Below are 15015 nucleotides of genomic sequence, written 5' to 3'. Positions count from 1 at the left end.
AACATTCCAAAGATGAACATACTATCCAAAGACACAAACAGAAATCATCTGGGAATTTCATATTTTTATACGATCTTGTTGCTATCAAATGGACAGGAATAGGTCATTCTTTGTGGAGAATGAATGCACTGTATATGAAGAATCCTAGATATTGTCATCCCAATTTGAAGGCTAGGATTGTGAGAAAATATTCAACTTCACAGGTCCAATCGATTCAAAACTAACAGAGGTGGCCAAAGCTCAGCTAGCCTAGAGGATGCCCAACTGACAAAACTCTTTTCTAGTGTGATACAACAGAAGGGTTAATGTTAAATTACTATTTAATCTTTATAGTTTTCAAAACAAAAAACCTGGGGAATGCTACTGTAACCCCCAGTGACAAGATAGAGCCAGCAATGCTGAGCAAGACATGATCTCTATGCTCAAGCAGTTTAAATCTAATAAGGGAGAAAAGGTTAAGGGGCCCAGTCAGCAAGCATGAGGAAGAATATGATAGATGCCATAAGAGTAACACAGTATTGTGGTATGGTTAAGTAGGTGGGGGGGGGGGGGGGGGGCGGACTCTGGAGTCAGGCTGCTTGAGTTTGAACCATGGCTTGATGACCTGCTAGCTTCATGAAGTTGTGCAAGTTAAATTACTCAACCTTTCTCCACCCTCATTTCCCCATCTGTAAAATGAGAACAGTAGTTTCCCTCTCCAAGAGAAATATGGGGAGCAATAAGTCTCAATGTAATTCCAAGGTATTCCTCTTGATGACTTAACTTCTATGCAGTAGTGTTTGAGTGTGCGTTTAAGAGTATTCTTAAATCATAGTGCTTGGTGTATCATTCATGGTGAGTTAGAAGTTTGTACTGAAGTCAGAATTCCTAGTGTTTACTTCCAGCTCTTCATAAATTCTAATACTCATTTCATTTCCTTGTACATCAAGTTACTTCTCTATTTAAATGAGCATAGCATGTTCCACGGGAGCAAGGACCTTATCAAGTCTTGTTCAGTAACTAGAACAATGCCTGGCACATAGTAGATGCTAGATAAATGTTGGTTGAGCACAACTTACGGAGATTATGAAAATGTTGATACATCAGGCATGAATGTAATTCTGAGAATGAACCATAAGTACTCTACAAAAATGACAGGTTTCTCTTGTTTAAGATTCCCAGGAGAGATAAGCAATGCTATCTATGACATTTCTCAGCTAGAATCTGTGCATGAGATTTGGAGTCAGAAGATCTTGCCTGGAGTCATGGCTCTACCACCAGGCTTTGTAACTTCGAATAAGTAATTTAACCTCTATGAGCTTCATTTCAGTCATCAGTGTTTTGGGTTATCACTTATGCTTTAGAATATTTTTGAGAGATCGAAACATCAATGAAATACAAGCACTTGTAAACCTGCAAGTACAATAAAGTACAAATGCACTAAGAAATGGTAACTTTTCATGTTCTGCTTTAGAGGACTATAAATCTTAAGAAGCAGAACTGTATTCCTATTACTTAAGTCTAAGGAAGTGAAGATAAAGCTGTATTATCCCCAAAACAAAACTGATCTTAAGAATACAGAGACAACTGACACTTCTCCCTGTCTTTTATACATAGACAAACAGAGCTGCATGAGAGAACTTCTCCCCATCTTTGCGCCAGCTCCCTTGAGTGTTGCACTTAGTTTCTTCTGAGTCAGCCGCTAAAATAGTTCCAGTCTGAAGGAAGACATGTGGTGGCTAGAAATGCTTTGAAGAATTGGCCAGGGCTTCATCATAGGTTACAGGCCAAAATTTTTAAAAAGAAAAAGAAAAAAGAAAATTCCTTCTTCCCCTATCTCTGAATAAAATGCATGGCCAGAAGCCAATTCTTTTTTGCAGTTTTCATTTGTAAAAGTTCAGAATTCACATGTATCATTTATTATGTTTCTATACTTGATGGACCTCTGTAGAAAAAGTCTCCAGACCCTCACTGTTTATGTTTTGAGCAGATCTTGTATAGATAGATAGATCTTTTTTGTCATTTTCCTTCCAAATGTGTTCAGGCAGACTATATAATTGGGTTGTGGGATTAGGTTGGAATATCATACTCTTTCAGAGTACTTTTCATAATACATTAAGTCAGTTACAGTGTGGAAATGAATTTACTCTTGAAATTCAACTTAGTAACACTACTGAGAAAAATCTCTGGCTAAGGAGAAACTCAGAAAGCTTGGGATAGCTAATCCCATCACTAGTCAGGCTGTTTTTGATTGTCATGTCTCTTTAGACTTTTTAAAAAATACATAACAGCTTTATTGGGATGTAATTCACATATTACCCAATTCATCTATTTAAAGTGTACAATTCAGTGACTGGGTTATGGTATTTCAAAAATCATGCAATCATCACCACTATCTAATTCCAAAACATTTTCATCACCCCCTAAAGGAGACTCTGTACCCATTAAGCAGTCATTCGCCCTTATCCCCTCTTCCCATCCCCTGGCAACCACTAATCTACCTTCTGTCTCTGTAGATTTGGCTACTCTGAACGTTTCATATAAATGGAATCATACAATATGTGGCCTTTTGTGACAGAGTTCTTTCACTTAACATAATGTTTTCAAGGTTCAACCTTCTGGTAGCATGCATCAGTCCTTCATTCCTATTTGTGGCCAAATAACATTCCATTGTGTGGATATACCACATTTTGTTTATCCATTCATCTGGTAATGGACACTTAGGTTATTTCCACTTTTGGCTATTATGAATAGTGTTGCTATGAACATTCATGTAGGAGGATTTCTTTATCACTTGTTTTCAGATACTTTGGGTATATACTGAGTTGCGGAAGTGAGGAACTGTCAGACAGTTTGCCATAGCAACTGCAACATTTCATATTCCCAGCCACGATGTATGAGGGTTCAAATTTCTCCAATTTTTCTGTTTTTAAAATTATAGTTAGACTAATGAGAGTGGTCATCACATTGTGATTTTGTTTTGCATTTCTATCATCAGGTTATTTTTAAAATACTTTTCCTAGAAGTCATTTGCCTGCAACTTCAACGCTCTAGAACATGGTCCTGCATGTAACTTGATGCAGAAGGGCCTGCATAGAAGTAAGAGCAGTCATAGAACTTCTGCAAGAAAGCTCTGCATCTTGTTCCACAGGCCCCTCATTCAGTGGGTAACTAATTGTTATTCAACATTCATGACTGGCTATTAGGTTTTTTGGAAGAGAGCTGGAAAATTCACTGTGGTAGATATTGTGACAGAGAAGTGACAGTGGATATGACAACAGTCTGCCACTTAAAGAGGAGAACTATTATACTTCCTAATACATTAATGGTCCCAAGTCTTTAATTAGAGGCCAAATTATGTTTGATATTTTTTAAGAAGGCAAAGTTACACAGAATACATTTTAGAATGATTTCCATGAAGAATGACTCAGAGAAAAACATGTTTTGCTCTTGAGTAGATAAGCTTGCTTGAACTTTCTAGGTATTTAATTTCTCAATGATATTTGAAAAGTCAGGTGATACTTAATTGCATCTTGAATATGGAAAAGACAAAGAGAAGATTTAGATTTTGTAAAATTGTTGAAAATATTGTTGAAAAAATTAAATGAAATATTTTTAAGAACTTTAATCTCACTTTTTGATGAAGTTAACAGTTATTTGATTTTTCTAATACTCAGAGCTCACTTTTGCGTTAATGCTATTTCAGTATGTGTTTATGGCATATGCCAATAAATTAACCTTTCCTGTATCTTCTCAGCTGTTGCTAGAAATTGTAGCTGGTTCACACTGAGTTAAACTGCATACTTTAAAGCTGCATAATATTTAATCTATTTCATTAAACAGCACATTCTGTCTCACTTGTTTGTATATGCTGAAACCTTCTTCTGAGTTGCTCCAATTTCCCTTCATAGAGACTAAGGAGCCTACACAGAAAAAAAAAAATCTTTTCAGATGACTTTTTTCTTTATCTGAAGCACATTTTACGTTTCCATCCTCCACCCCACCTCATGTGAGGTTGTTGCCTAGTCTTGTACTACAACAGTAAATCTAAGCAGTTGCTTGCTTTTACTATACAGTTTTATACTGGGAAATGCCCTTTTTATTGACAATGGCTGACTGTACTATGTTGCACTGTCAGTATCTAGATGCTTCCTGTTTTAAATAGGATATAGTTACTTCTTTTCCAAATCTAGAGTTTGAAACGGAAGCATTGTATTATTTTAGCTAATTTTATTTATTTTTTTCTTGCAGGTTCTGAAAAGTGCCTTTTCTGAAAACTCTGCTGCTTGGATTCTACTCTAGAGCTGTCTCTTTATAAACCCCTCTCCCTACCATACCGTTCCCTGCCCTCTCCACCTCCCCGCCGAACCTGGTGTGCTTGTAGTTTACTGTCAGCAGCTGGTCCATTTCTTTTTTCTGTGATTCTCAATTTTCTTAGTCATTTTCCCTCCACTTGATTTTGCAACGAAACTTTTTTTGGGTTCTAACATCCTTCCCAATCTTGTTATTTAAAGCTAATAAATAGGGAGAAAAACTTTTCTCCCCCTGATCTGAGACCATTCCACAAATCGAAGGGCAGCCAGCAGCATATGTTTTTTGCAAGAATAATTGAAAACATCAACTGCAGAGCCCAGAATTCTTTTGAAAGTCTGCCGGTTATTTAACATAAATTCGGCAAAGGAACAAAATAAAGCATTCATTATCTTAACAGTTGGCTTCTTAAGAGTTGGTCTCTAATTTCATTTTTAGTTATTCTGATAGTTTTTATGATTGGCTTTTTGTTTGACTAGACCAGATTTGACTTTAATGAAAACCTAAGTGTTAACAAATAGACATTTCACCAAAGCAACCTGTTATCTCTTCGCACTTAGTTTGAATTCATTTTTAATCCTTTAATAGTCCACAGTAATATTGTCCTAAAGAGGGTACATTGGATTTTAATTTTGCTTTCAATATGACGGCTGTCAATGTTGCCCTGATTCGTGATACCAAGTGGCTGACTTTAGAAGTCTGTAGAGAATTTCAGAGAGGAACTTGCTCTCGAGCTGATGCAGATTGCAAGTTTGCCCATCCACCAAGAGTTTGCCATGTGGAAAATGGTCGTGTGGTGGCCTGTTTTGATTCTCTAAAGGTGAGTCCCATCTGAATGCACATAATTTAAATTTGTTGATTTCTATGTTTTTTGAAATATGATGTGCTTTGAAATGAGTAAAATTAATAATAGCATGAAAGTGATAAATTTTGTTTTTTTAACAAAAAAACAGAATGTCAAGATAGAAGGTCTTAAAGTCAGAATGTCTTAACGACAAAATGTCTTAAGTCTTTGTGTTTGTAGAGCTAAGCCAAGTCTAAAGCTCATTCCACCAAAGACCACTTACCACTTATCAAAACAGATATACTTAAAGAATAAAAATTGAAGAATTTTTGTAGGAGTGAGGGATTGTAGCCTTGCTATCGTTTACTTTTTTGTATATGATTTAGATGTTACAGTGATCATAATCCCCATGTAACCTAGAGAAGCCCTTCACTGAATTATAGCATATTATCCATAGTACCAAAATGCACTTAGGAGGGACTTGTCAGCTTTCAGAGGATAACTAAAGTCAGACTGAGGGAGTATAAGGGTTCCAGAAGGAAAATTATGGCATTTTGAAGCGTCTCAAAGTATATTTTGAACCTTTAACTTAAACGTATTGCTACAAAACTAGGTTCACTTAATTTTCCTCCTGGACAGATGATTGACCAATTTCAGATTTGTGAGTATATTTTGTAAGGAAAGTCCTATTACTAAGGTCATCAAGCCTGAGTATTACATACTAGATTATAAACAAAATATGAGGCCAGATGAGGTATTATATAGGACAGGATGTATATGATTGCAGAAAAAGAAAATGCACTGATTTTCATGTGTTATTCATAGTTATCCTTAAATTAAGGATAAAAAGTATAAATTAAAACATAGAAGCAATAAATTATAATGGATTTCTGGTTTAATTAAGATTTGCTACAATGCATCTGAGACTTTTTTCAAAATATGTCAAAATGAATTAAGCTTAACAAGAACTTTTTCAGTTTCTTGATATTGTTTTACCTTCATCATGACCAATTTTACCTCATTAACATTTTTATTTATGGCTGCATTGGCTAACAGAGATGTATCCCTTCGTGTGATGGTTTCCTCAGGAAACATTTTCTTAAGCGATATACAGGTTAAGTATCTCTTATCTGAAATGCTTGAGACTGAAAGTGTTTTCGATTTTTTGGATTTTAGAATATTTGCATATCCATAAAGAGATATCTTGGGGATGGGACTCCAGTCTAACCATGAAATTCATTTACATTTTATATACACTTTTTACACATAGCCTGAAGGTAATGTTATACAATATTTTAAATAATTTTGTGCATGAAACAAAGTTGTGTACATTCAGCTATCAGAAAACAAAAGCGTCATTATCTCAGCCACCCATGTGACATCATGTTGACACTTAAAAAGTTGAGGCTTTTGGAGCATTTTATACTTCAGGTTTTTGGATTAAAGATGCTTAACCTGTAGTACTTAAAGGGTTACTTTTACTTATTTCGTGATTACTAGTTTTTTGTTTTTTGTTTTTTTTTGCAGACCATTCCATTTTAAGAATAGAAACTTGTTATTGTAAAGATAAAGGTAATTCCTACCATTGAAAATCTCTGAATTGCTTTTATTTGTGGTAGACATTATGACTAAAGAACTTATTTTGTTTTCTTCATTTTGGTTTCATTTAAGTTTCATCTACAATTATTTTGTGTATTATTTAAATCTGCAGCTACAGGATTGGGCAGTGCCTTGAAGTGGAAAAGCATACTGAGTTAGTTGGGGGAAAAATGAGGTATCTTTCATCTGGTCCATATAGAGGGTCAGGAACTGCAGTAGAAACTTTGCATTGTTGTTTCAGGAGATCTGGGGTACAGTCCCAGCCTCACTACTGTATCTGACCTCGGGCAACTTAACCTCACAATCCTTGAGTAACTTCATCTGTAACAGATAGATAGTATCTTCTGTACCTAACTTCTGTGATTATTGTGGAGATTGCAGTAAGCTAGTACAAATGGAAAACCATATATCAATATAAAAGTGAATTAAATAAAAGGTTTTCTTCCTATCAACTAAATGTTTGTTGTAGGCATTCTTTAACAAAGTTCTATTTAGTTAGGGCTTATTATTTAAAATTACAAACTCATGTTCCAAATGTACATGACCAAATCTAGTTGCTGTGTGTTATTAGTTGTTCAAGCTAAGTATAACTGTTTTTATGGTTACTCTGATATAGAGTTCCTTGCAGGCTTTGTAAATTCTATCTTTCCAAACATCATAGAATGTGAAAGGAGACATGTGATCTTCCTAATCATTAATAAACTCAGGTCAGTAATTCCATTTAAAGGCAAAAGAGTGCCATAAACTAAACATTTTGAAGAAAAGTACTAGGGAAGGTGACTGTTTACAAAATGCGTGCTGCACTACAACTTTAGAGCTTGGAAGGTGTTTAATTCAGAGACAAAATAGATAATAGCCAATGAATATTAATAAGCCACTTAATTATTTAAATAAGTTGTCTACTCACTGTATCTAGTGTTTTTAAAGTAATGTTTGCATCATGTTAATATCCTGATGACCAGTCACACAGGGTAAAGATGATTTACATAATCCTTACATTCTCATATTTTAGTGAAAACCTTAATATTTCAAATATGTAAAGCCGTTCAAACAATTACTTAATTTGCCATTTAGATAGCACATTAAACAAAGTTCCATGTCTGCACAAGAGCTTTGTAGTTCTTATCCATGACATGCATGAAGGTTAAATTAAGTTGAGGGTAATTGACCTATGTGCATTGTGCTAGTATCATATCTATAATATACAAATAACATACCTCAGTGGTTACTGCAGCATTTCCTACTTCTCCTGAGTTTTTATAATTGAAACACTGTTGAACTTCATCTGTGTACTATTTCTTCTCTCATGAGTGATTAAATAACTGAAACAATCATTTGATGAGTTTTGGGCTGCTGCTTTTGTTTTTGTTTTGTTTTGTTGTTGTTGTGTAAGAATTCTATTAGTACTAGCTACTCTACCAGATGATGGTTATTGCCTTAATAACAGGTACAACAGATACAATGTTCTAACTCACCTCATAATGAGGGAATGTTATGAAAATAAGAAGGGCAAATTGGATGGCTGATTGTGTATTGTGCTGAAGTGCTGTGCCTATCAATCCATGAATGTTGAGTGCTCAGTGATGAAGGCAGCACCATCTTCAAATGGAAATCTAGTGTAGTCCATGGATTAATTTCCAGCTACATAGAATGGTCTCATATCATGTTGGTATGCAGCTGTTTTTGACTCTGTTGCCTTGTGGACTTGGCATAATCTGTCTCCAAAGTTTTCTTCAAAGTATCGCTTAATCCATTCTATGCCAATTTCTTGATATTACAGTTTGCCATTGATCTAGGTTGGTATTTTTAGTGAATGTTCCTTGGATTTAACGAAGGGTCATCATTTTTAAAACGAAATCAATCTTTGTGATTGTTTTCATAGCCAAGTTATTCTGCTTCAGCAATATCATGATGTCTTGAACCTTTCCCTTTATACTTGAAGCAATGTGTTATCAGTCACTTTTTATCCAGGAAGGATATAAATGTTGTCATTATTTCATTATGACAGATCAACACCCATCACAACTGTCCACCCCTCTTACCACTTTGGGTAGTTTTGTGCCAAGAATTTCCTGGTAAAGGCCATAGCAGCAGACATAGTTAGAGGATACTCAAGCTAACCTATATACATTCCTTAAAAAATGGGAACTGGGTAAGGAATGCACATAAAACAGTCACATGCCATGTCTTCAAAATCACATATGATCACGAGAAAAATAATATTTTGACAAGTGAAACCTTGTCAAATATTATAAGCATATCGATATGAATCTATCCTTGTAGGTCAAACTGGCCCAAGTTACCAGTATATTCTGCAATAGCAACACTAGTCACAGCAGTTTTCATTAGTTTAAAATTTGACTATTTTTGACTGAATACTTACTCATCCCTATTTGCCAAGGGAAAGTTTACCAGAAACTAGATGCCTAGCAACACAATCCCAAGGGTCACTGGATTATGCAAGACTTAGCACCATTTATCAGCTCCATCAGAGAGGTCTGTCTACACTATAAAGACACATAAGCAGCAGCTGTCATCTTGAGAGTCAAGGAAAATAACATTTTATTTAAGGATCTCTATTTTCTATGATGCTAACCTTTAAAGGGAAGTATCTTTGACTGGTAAAAGTCAATGCTATTTTGGACATTTCAAAAACCTCTTTTGAAAGGAAAATAGAATTACAATTATAGGTTGGTGCGGAAGTAATTGTGTTTTTTGCCATGAAAGCAATGGCAAAAACTGCAATTACTTCTGCACCGACCTAATGGTACCCAAACAAATACATATTGATAGTTCAGCCTCGCCTTTTAAACATTTTATTTTGAAATATTAATAATTTTAGGCTTACAGAAAAGTTACAAAAGTGATACAGGAAACTCCTGTATACTTTTTATCCAGATTCCCCTAATGTCAACAACTTACATGCCATGCATTGCACAGTTATCAAAACCAGGGAATTATCACTGGTACAAGATTCTTAAGTAAACTCAAGACCTTATTTGAATGTCACCAATTTTCTTCCTAATGTTATTTTTCTGTTCCAGGATCCAATCTGGGATCCCACATGGCATTTATTCCTTATATCTCCTTAGTCTCCTCCAACCTGTGACACTTTCCCAGTCTTTCCTTGTCTTTCATGACCATGACACTTAGGATGAATACTGGTCAGTTATTCTGTAAAATACATCTCACCTTGTGCTTGTTGAATGTTTTCTCATGATTAGACTGAGATCATGTGGTTTTGACAAATAAAAAAGAAACCCACACGCAGAAATGATGTGCATGACATCTGAGGGTATGGGATATTGATATATCTTATTCATTATGTTAACTTTAATTAGCTGGTTCAAGTGGCATCTACTGGATTTCTCCACTGTAACATGACCAGTTTTTCTTTTGTAAAAACTGATAACTATGTCCCCCATTTATTCATCATCCCCTACAATATGCCATTGATCGTAATGGGCATCCCAATGTCCTAGATGTTAAAAAGTGAACAAGTGTTCATCTTAGAAGTGATTGGTAATGTACTTCTATAATTATAGTCAATTAAGAAAGAGAGCAAGGGAAAATGGACCAAGAGCATGACAGAGAAAATAGCAGCAACAAGCCACTGGAAAGACAGAACACTGGAGAGTGAGCAGTCCTAGAAGTGATGTGATATGTGTGTGCCTATCATATACTACTGCAGAGTGTGACAGCTGTCCCCTTCTTGTTCATGGCCTTGGGACTTAGCCGTGAACCAGAAACAGTCCCTGCCTCCATGGTGCAGACATTCTCATTGGGAGTTGGAGGAGGAGCAGGTAAAAAATAATTAAATATTCAGGATAACAATACATTGTCAGGTGTGAGGAAAGGGTGCAGAGAATGGCAGGGGCTACTGTTTTAGATACAGTGGCCAGGAGGCCTCCAGTGAGGTGACCTTTGAGGAGAGGCATGCAGGAGATGAGGGGACAGTGAAGAGGATTTCTAAGAACATTCCAGGCAAAGAGAATGGCGACAGCTAAGGCCCTGAAGCTGGCGGCAGCCTGGTGTGTGTGAGGAAACTCAAGATCCCCAGCGTGGCTGGAGCAGAGCCATGAAGGGGGAGGGCAGTGGGAGATGAGGGCAGGGAGGTCCCGGGGGTGGGGAGATCAGGTGGGGCTCTGTGTATCATGCTGAGGACTTTGGATCCTGTTCCAGGAGCTGGAAAGGTTGACATAATCGGGGGAAAGCAAGCCCACACAAAGCAGAGGTGTCTAGTCTTTATATTTTTTAAGTGGAAAAGAGAATAATTTCCACGAAGACAAATAACTCCTGTTTATAGGTGAAGTAGAAGTCAAATGGTGCCCAATCCCTATTCTTCACTCCCTTATTTCTGTGACTTGTACCTCAACTCCAGTTCATACCCCAGTGATGGGGAATTAGCAATAAAGAAATCTCATGTGAGGAAAGAGTTAATATAGCAGGTTTGGTGGCTTACTCTTTGCATGTCTCCCAGGGAAACCTTAACTATCCCCTGGGAATGTGGCCACCATTCATTTTGTCACTGATTGGTTATTGTGTTGTATACACCTGGAACAATGGACCATGCCATAACAGCTTGTCAGGGTTGCTTTGCTCAAGATCAAGATTGATGACTGATTCATTGTTAGGGTCCTGCATTACAGTTGCCATGGCCAGTTGGTAGCAGGCTGTGCATATGTGACCAGGACCCATCTGCACCTCAGACCTTGAGACTAGAACTGGGCTTCCCAGGGTGGAGACATTCCATACATGCCTCTGTAGTTTGCTGCTAGAGAGAGAGAGTCCTTGTGCATGTGGCTTCGAACTAGGAAGAACATTGGAAGCTTGTGCTGGGCTTCTCTTGATTCTACTGATACGTATATTTTTCCTGTTACTTTTCCTCTGTATTCCAAGCTGTAATAAATTTTAGTTGCGAGTGTAAGTTGCTATTGAGTCTGTGAGTCCTGGCAAATGTCAAAGAAGCTTTTCTGTATGTTGTTATTTTTCATACATTATTTGCTTGATTTTTTTTTTTTACATTTTTCTGTTTTTTATGAGAAGGGCTTTTTCATTTTGTTTCTATTTTTTAAAGTTTAATTTTTGAATGGATATTTTCATAATTCAAAAATTTAGAAAAACAGTCAACTAATGAGTACATCAACAAAATATGGTATATACATACAATGTAATATTACTCAGCTACAAAAAGGAACAAAGTACTGATCCATGCTACAACATGGATGAACCTTAAAAACATGATGTTAAGTGAAAGAAGCCAGACATAAAAGGTCACATATTGTGTGATTCCATTTATATGAAACATCAAGAGTTGGCAAATCCATAGAGACAGAAAGCAGATTAGTGGTTGCCAGGGTCTTGTGAAGGGCAGTAGATGGGTGAGTGAGGGGTGAGGGGTATGGGAATTAACTACTAATGGGTACATGGCTTTTTTTTTAAGGGTGATGAAAATGTCCTGGAATTAGTGATGATAGTTACACAACTTTGTATATAAATGTGTTAAAAACTACTGATGTGTAGACTTTAAAAGGGTGAGTTTTATGATTTGTGAATTATACTCAATGAAAAAGTTTAAGAAATTTCAACGATAGTAGAGTATGCAGCGAAGTTTTCCCCTCATCTCTTTTCCCCAGTTAATCAGTTGACCTCCAAACTGATATTTTGGTTTTCCCTCTCCCATAGATATTATATATATACATATGAGCAAATATATCCATACTTATTTTCCATTTTCACACAGATAGTAGCATACTGTTTTCCTCCTTGCTTTTTTTGAGTTTAAAATATTAACAGTAAAAAGATGGGAAAAGCTATGTCATGCTGACACTAATAAAAAGAAGCCTGGAGGTGCTATATTTATAATAAAGATAAAAAGAATTGCACACAAATACAGGATTCTAGTTAGTAAATCTGTTCCTCACAGGCATATGTAAGTATGTAGATACTGAGGTTGAACAAATAAATGTATATAGAGTAGATAATGAGAGCCTATTTTCTCACTATCAGAGGAAAAAAGTTAAAAATAAAAAGGGAAGGTTAGGATGAATACCGTGGTGTGGATTAGAAAGGACACATGAGTATGTATACAGATAGATACAGGAATAGATATTGATCTGTGTGTATGCATGGGTTATTATGTATGCTTTCATTTCCTAGCTCTGTCTTGGGAAGCCCTAGAAGCAATTAACACCCCAACAGCAACGAGTATACTTAGTACCCACATCTTTGTGTCTAATATCATTCTCCAATAAAGGAACTCGGGATCTTTGGAATAATGGCTAATTCTGGACAGAAGCAGGGAAAATACAAGATGAGGCTGTAATGTCTTTTGGTGTAAGAATGTAAGAAAGTGCTAGAGAAAGGGTGGGGGCATGACAAGACAGCATAGTAGCCAGTCTGAAGGAGCTCCCAATGGCTGAAGTTAGAATAACTTGAGCAAGAAACTAAATGATGACAGTATTGAATTATAGCTCATAGAATAAAATAGATGCCCATGAGTCCATAGTTTACAAAAAAAATTGAATAAATGGATAAGTTGGGGAGAAGGGACAACTCCTCCTTACAGAAGAATTCCAATTAATAAATGGAGAACAAATGAAGGAAACACAAAATCACTAGTAGGCAAATGCCATGGTAATAATGGTTGCAGGCAAGATCCACTGATATATGCTGAAATCAGTGGGTAAAAGTTGGAGGAGAAACAGGATATTTGCATTGTCCCAAAGTATTTCTCCCAGGATATTTATCAATTAAAAATAGAACAGGCATGGTCTATTTCATTTATCAATAAAAAATAGACCAGGCATGGTGGCTGGCTCATGCCTTTAATCCCAGCACTTTGGGAGGCCGAGGTGGGAGGATCTTTTGAGGCCAGGAGTTTGAGACCAGCCTGGGCAATATAGCGAGACCCTGTCTATACAAAACATTTTTAAAAAAATTAACTGGGCATAATGGTGCATGCCTGTAGTCCCAGCTACTCAGGAGGCAGAGGATCGCTTGAGCCTGGGAGATTGAGGCTGCAGTGAGCAGTGATTGTGCCACTGCACTCCAGCCTGGGCAACACAGCAAGACCCTGTTTCTAAAATAAATAAATAAAGGGAAAATAGTCACTTTACAGTGGAGAAACCCAGCAGATGCCACTTTAACCAGGTGTTTAAGGTTAACATAATGAGTGATAAGATATATCAATATCACATACCCTCAGATAGGATACACACCATTTCTGTGATGTTCCTGCCAAAAAGACATGGTCTCGGTCTAATCATGAGAAAACATTCAACAAACACAAAGTGAGAGGCATTTTACAGAATAAATGACCAGTACTCATCCAAAGTGTCATGGTCATGAAAGACAAGGAAAGACTTAGAAAGTGTCACAGATTGGAGGAGACTAAGGAGAAGTGAGGAATAAATGCCATGTGGGAACCTGGATTGGATCCTAGAACAGAAGAACATTAGGAAGAAAATTGGTGACATTCAAATAAGATCTCTTGTTAAGAGTCTCGTACCAGTGTTAATTTCCTGGTTTTGGTAATTGTGTTATGGTTATGTAAGTATTTAACAGTAGGGGAATCTGGGTGAAGGGTATACAGGGACTCCAGGTATTATTTTTGCGATTTTTTTGTAAGTTCAAAATTATTTCAAAATGAAGTATTTTAAAAGTTAGCTTTTTTAGTCTGTCCTTTGAGGCTCAGAAATATTGTGGGGTATTGTTTCTTTTCATTTTTATTCTTAAAAAAAAAACTTTGAGTATGGGGATGAGAAAACTCTAAAATCTAGTCATGACTGATCATGAGATTGCCCCCACCAAAAGTTCGATGACTCAGATATCTTCATAGTTAAGAAAGCGCTCATACATATAAAAGCACTTCACAAACCTAGCAAACGAAGAATTTTGGCTGTAGAAGGAAGAACGTTCAGTTCAAAATTGTTGCCATTTACAGTTGGGTAAACTGGTGATCCGTTGAGGGAGAGTGACTTGACCTAGTTCACATATGCAGTTATCAAAAGAGCTTGATGACTCCGGCGTTCTTCCAATCATTATTCAGTCTTCTTTCCTGTGGAGAAGAAGGAAATGGAGAGAACATCAATTAGGCTATTGCTTTAGTAAACCAAAAGCATCCAGCTCTTATCACAGTCATGCTGCTCCACATGACATTGGGACTGTCTGTGAAGTTTTCTGGTTCTCCTTTACTTTTTGCACTATAAAGTAAGGCGTGGATAAGCCAACTTTTCCTTTGCTAATCCCTCCCTCTTTTATTGTTTCTGATTCATGATAATTTAGATTAAGACTTTATTAACCTTCATATTTAGTTCATGGACAATTATTTGGATAACTTG

The 15015-nt window shown here is 36.5% G+C and overlaps 1 protein-coding gene and 1 long non-coding RNA gene across 26 annotated transcripts in view; one reads left to right on the top strand and one right to left on the bottom strand.

Moving 5' to 3' along the window:
- The window catches only part of MBNL3 (muscleblind like splicing regulator 3), a 120716-nt gene that overhangs the window by 45491 nt on the left and 60210 nt on the right, over positions 1 to 15015 (top strand). For 6 of the 25 annotated variants that reach the window (NM_001386898.1, NM_001386894.1, NM_001386892.1 and 3 more), the window contains exon 2: positions 4231 to 5110. The exons of 14 other annotated variants lie outside the window; for them this stretch is intronic. In NM_001386898.1, coding sequence (NP_001373827.1) covers positions 4934 to 5110 — 177 coding nt within the window. In that variant the 5' untranslated portion in view covers positions 4231 to 4933. Of the gene's footprint in view, positions 1 to 2977; positions 3147 to 4230; positions 5111 to 15015 lie in introns of those variants that run through there. 5 more of the 25 variants (NM_001386896.1, NM_018388.4, NM_001386897.1 and 2 more) reach the window with 5 other exon arrangements.
- RAP2C-AS1 (RAP2C antisense RNA 1) overlaps positions 11734 to 15015 on the bottom strand; it is a 214305-nt gene continuing 211023 nt past the window's right edge. The window contains exon 3 of the long non-coding RNA NR_110410.1: positions 11734 to 14732. This is a non-coding gene — a long non-coding RNA (RAP2C antisense RNA 1). The remainder of the gene's footprint in view (positions 14733 to 15015) is intronic.

This window comes from Homo sapiens, chromosome X (genome assembly GCF_000001405.40).
Source record: "Homo sapiens chromosome X, GRCh38.p14 Primary Assembly".
NCBI lineage: Eukaryota > Metazoa > Chordata > Mammalia > Primates > Hominidae > Homo > Homo sapiens.
The sequence above is the reverse complement of the archived record's forward strand: the minus strand, read 5'-3'. Positions and strand labels throughout refer to the sequence as shown.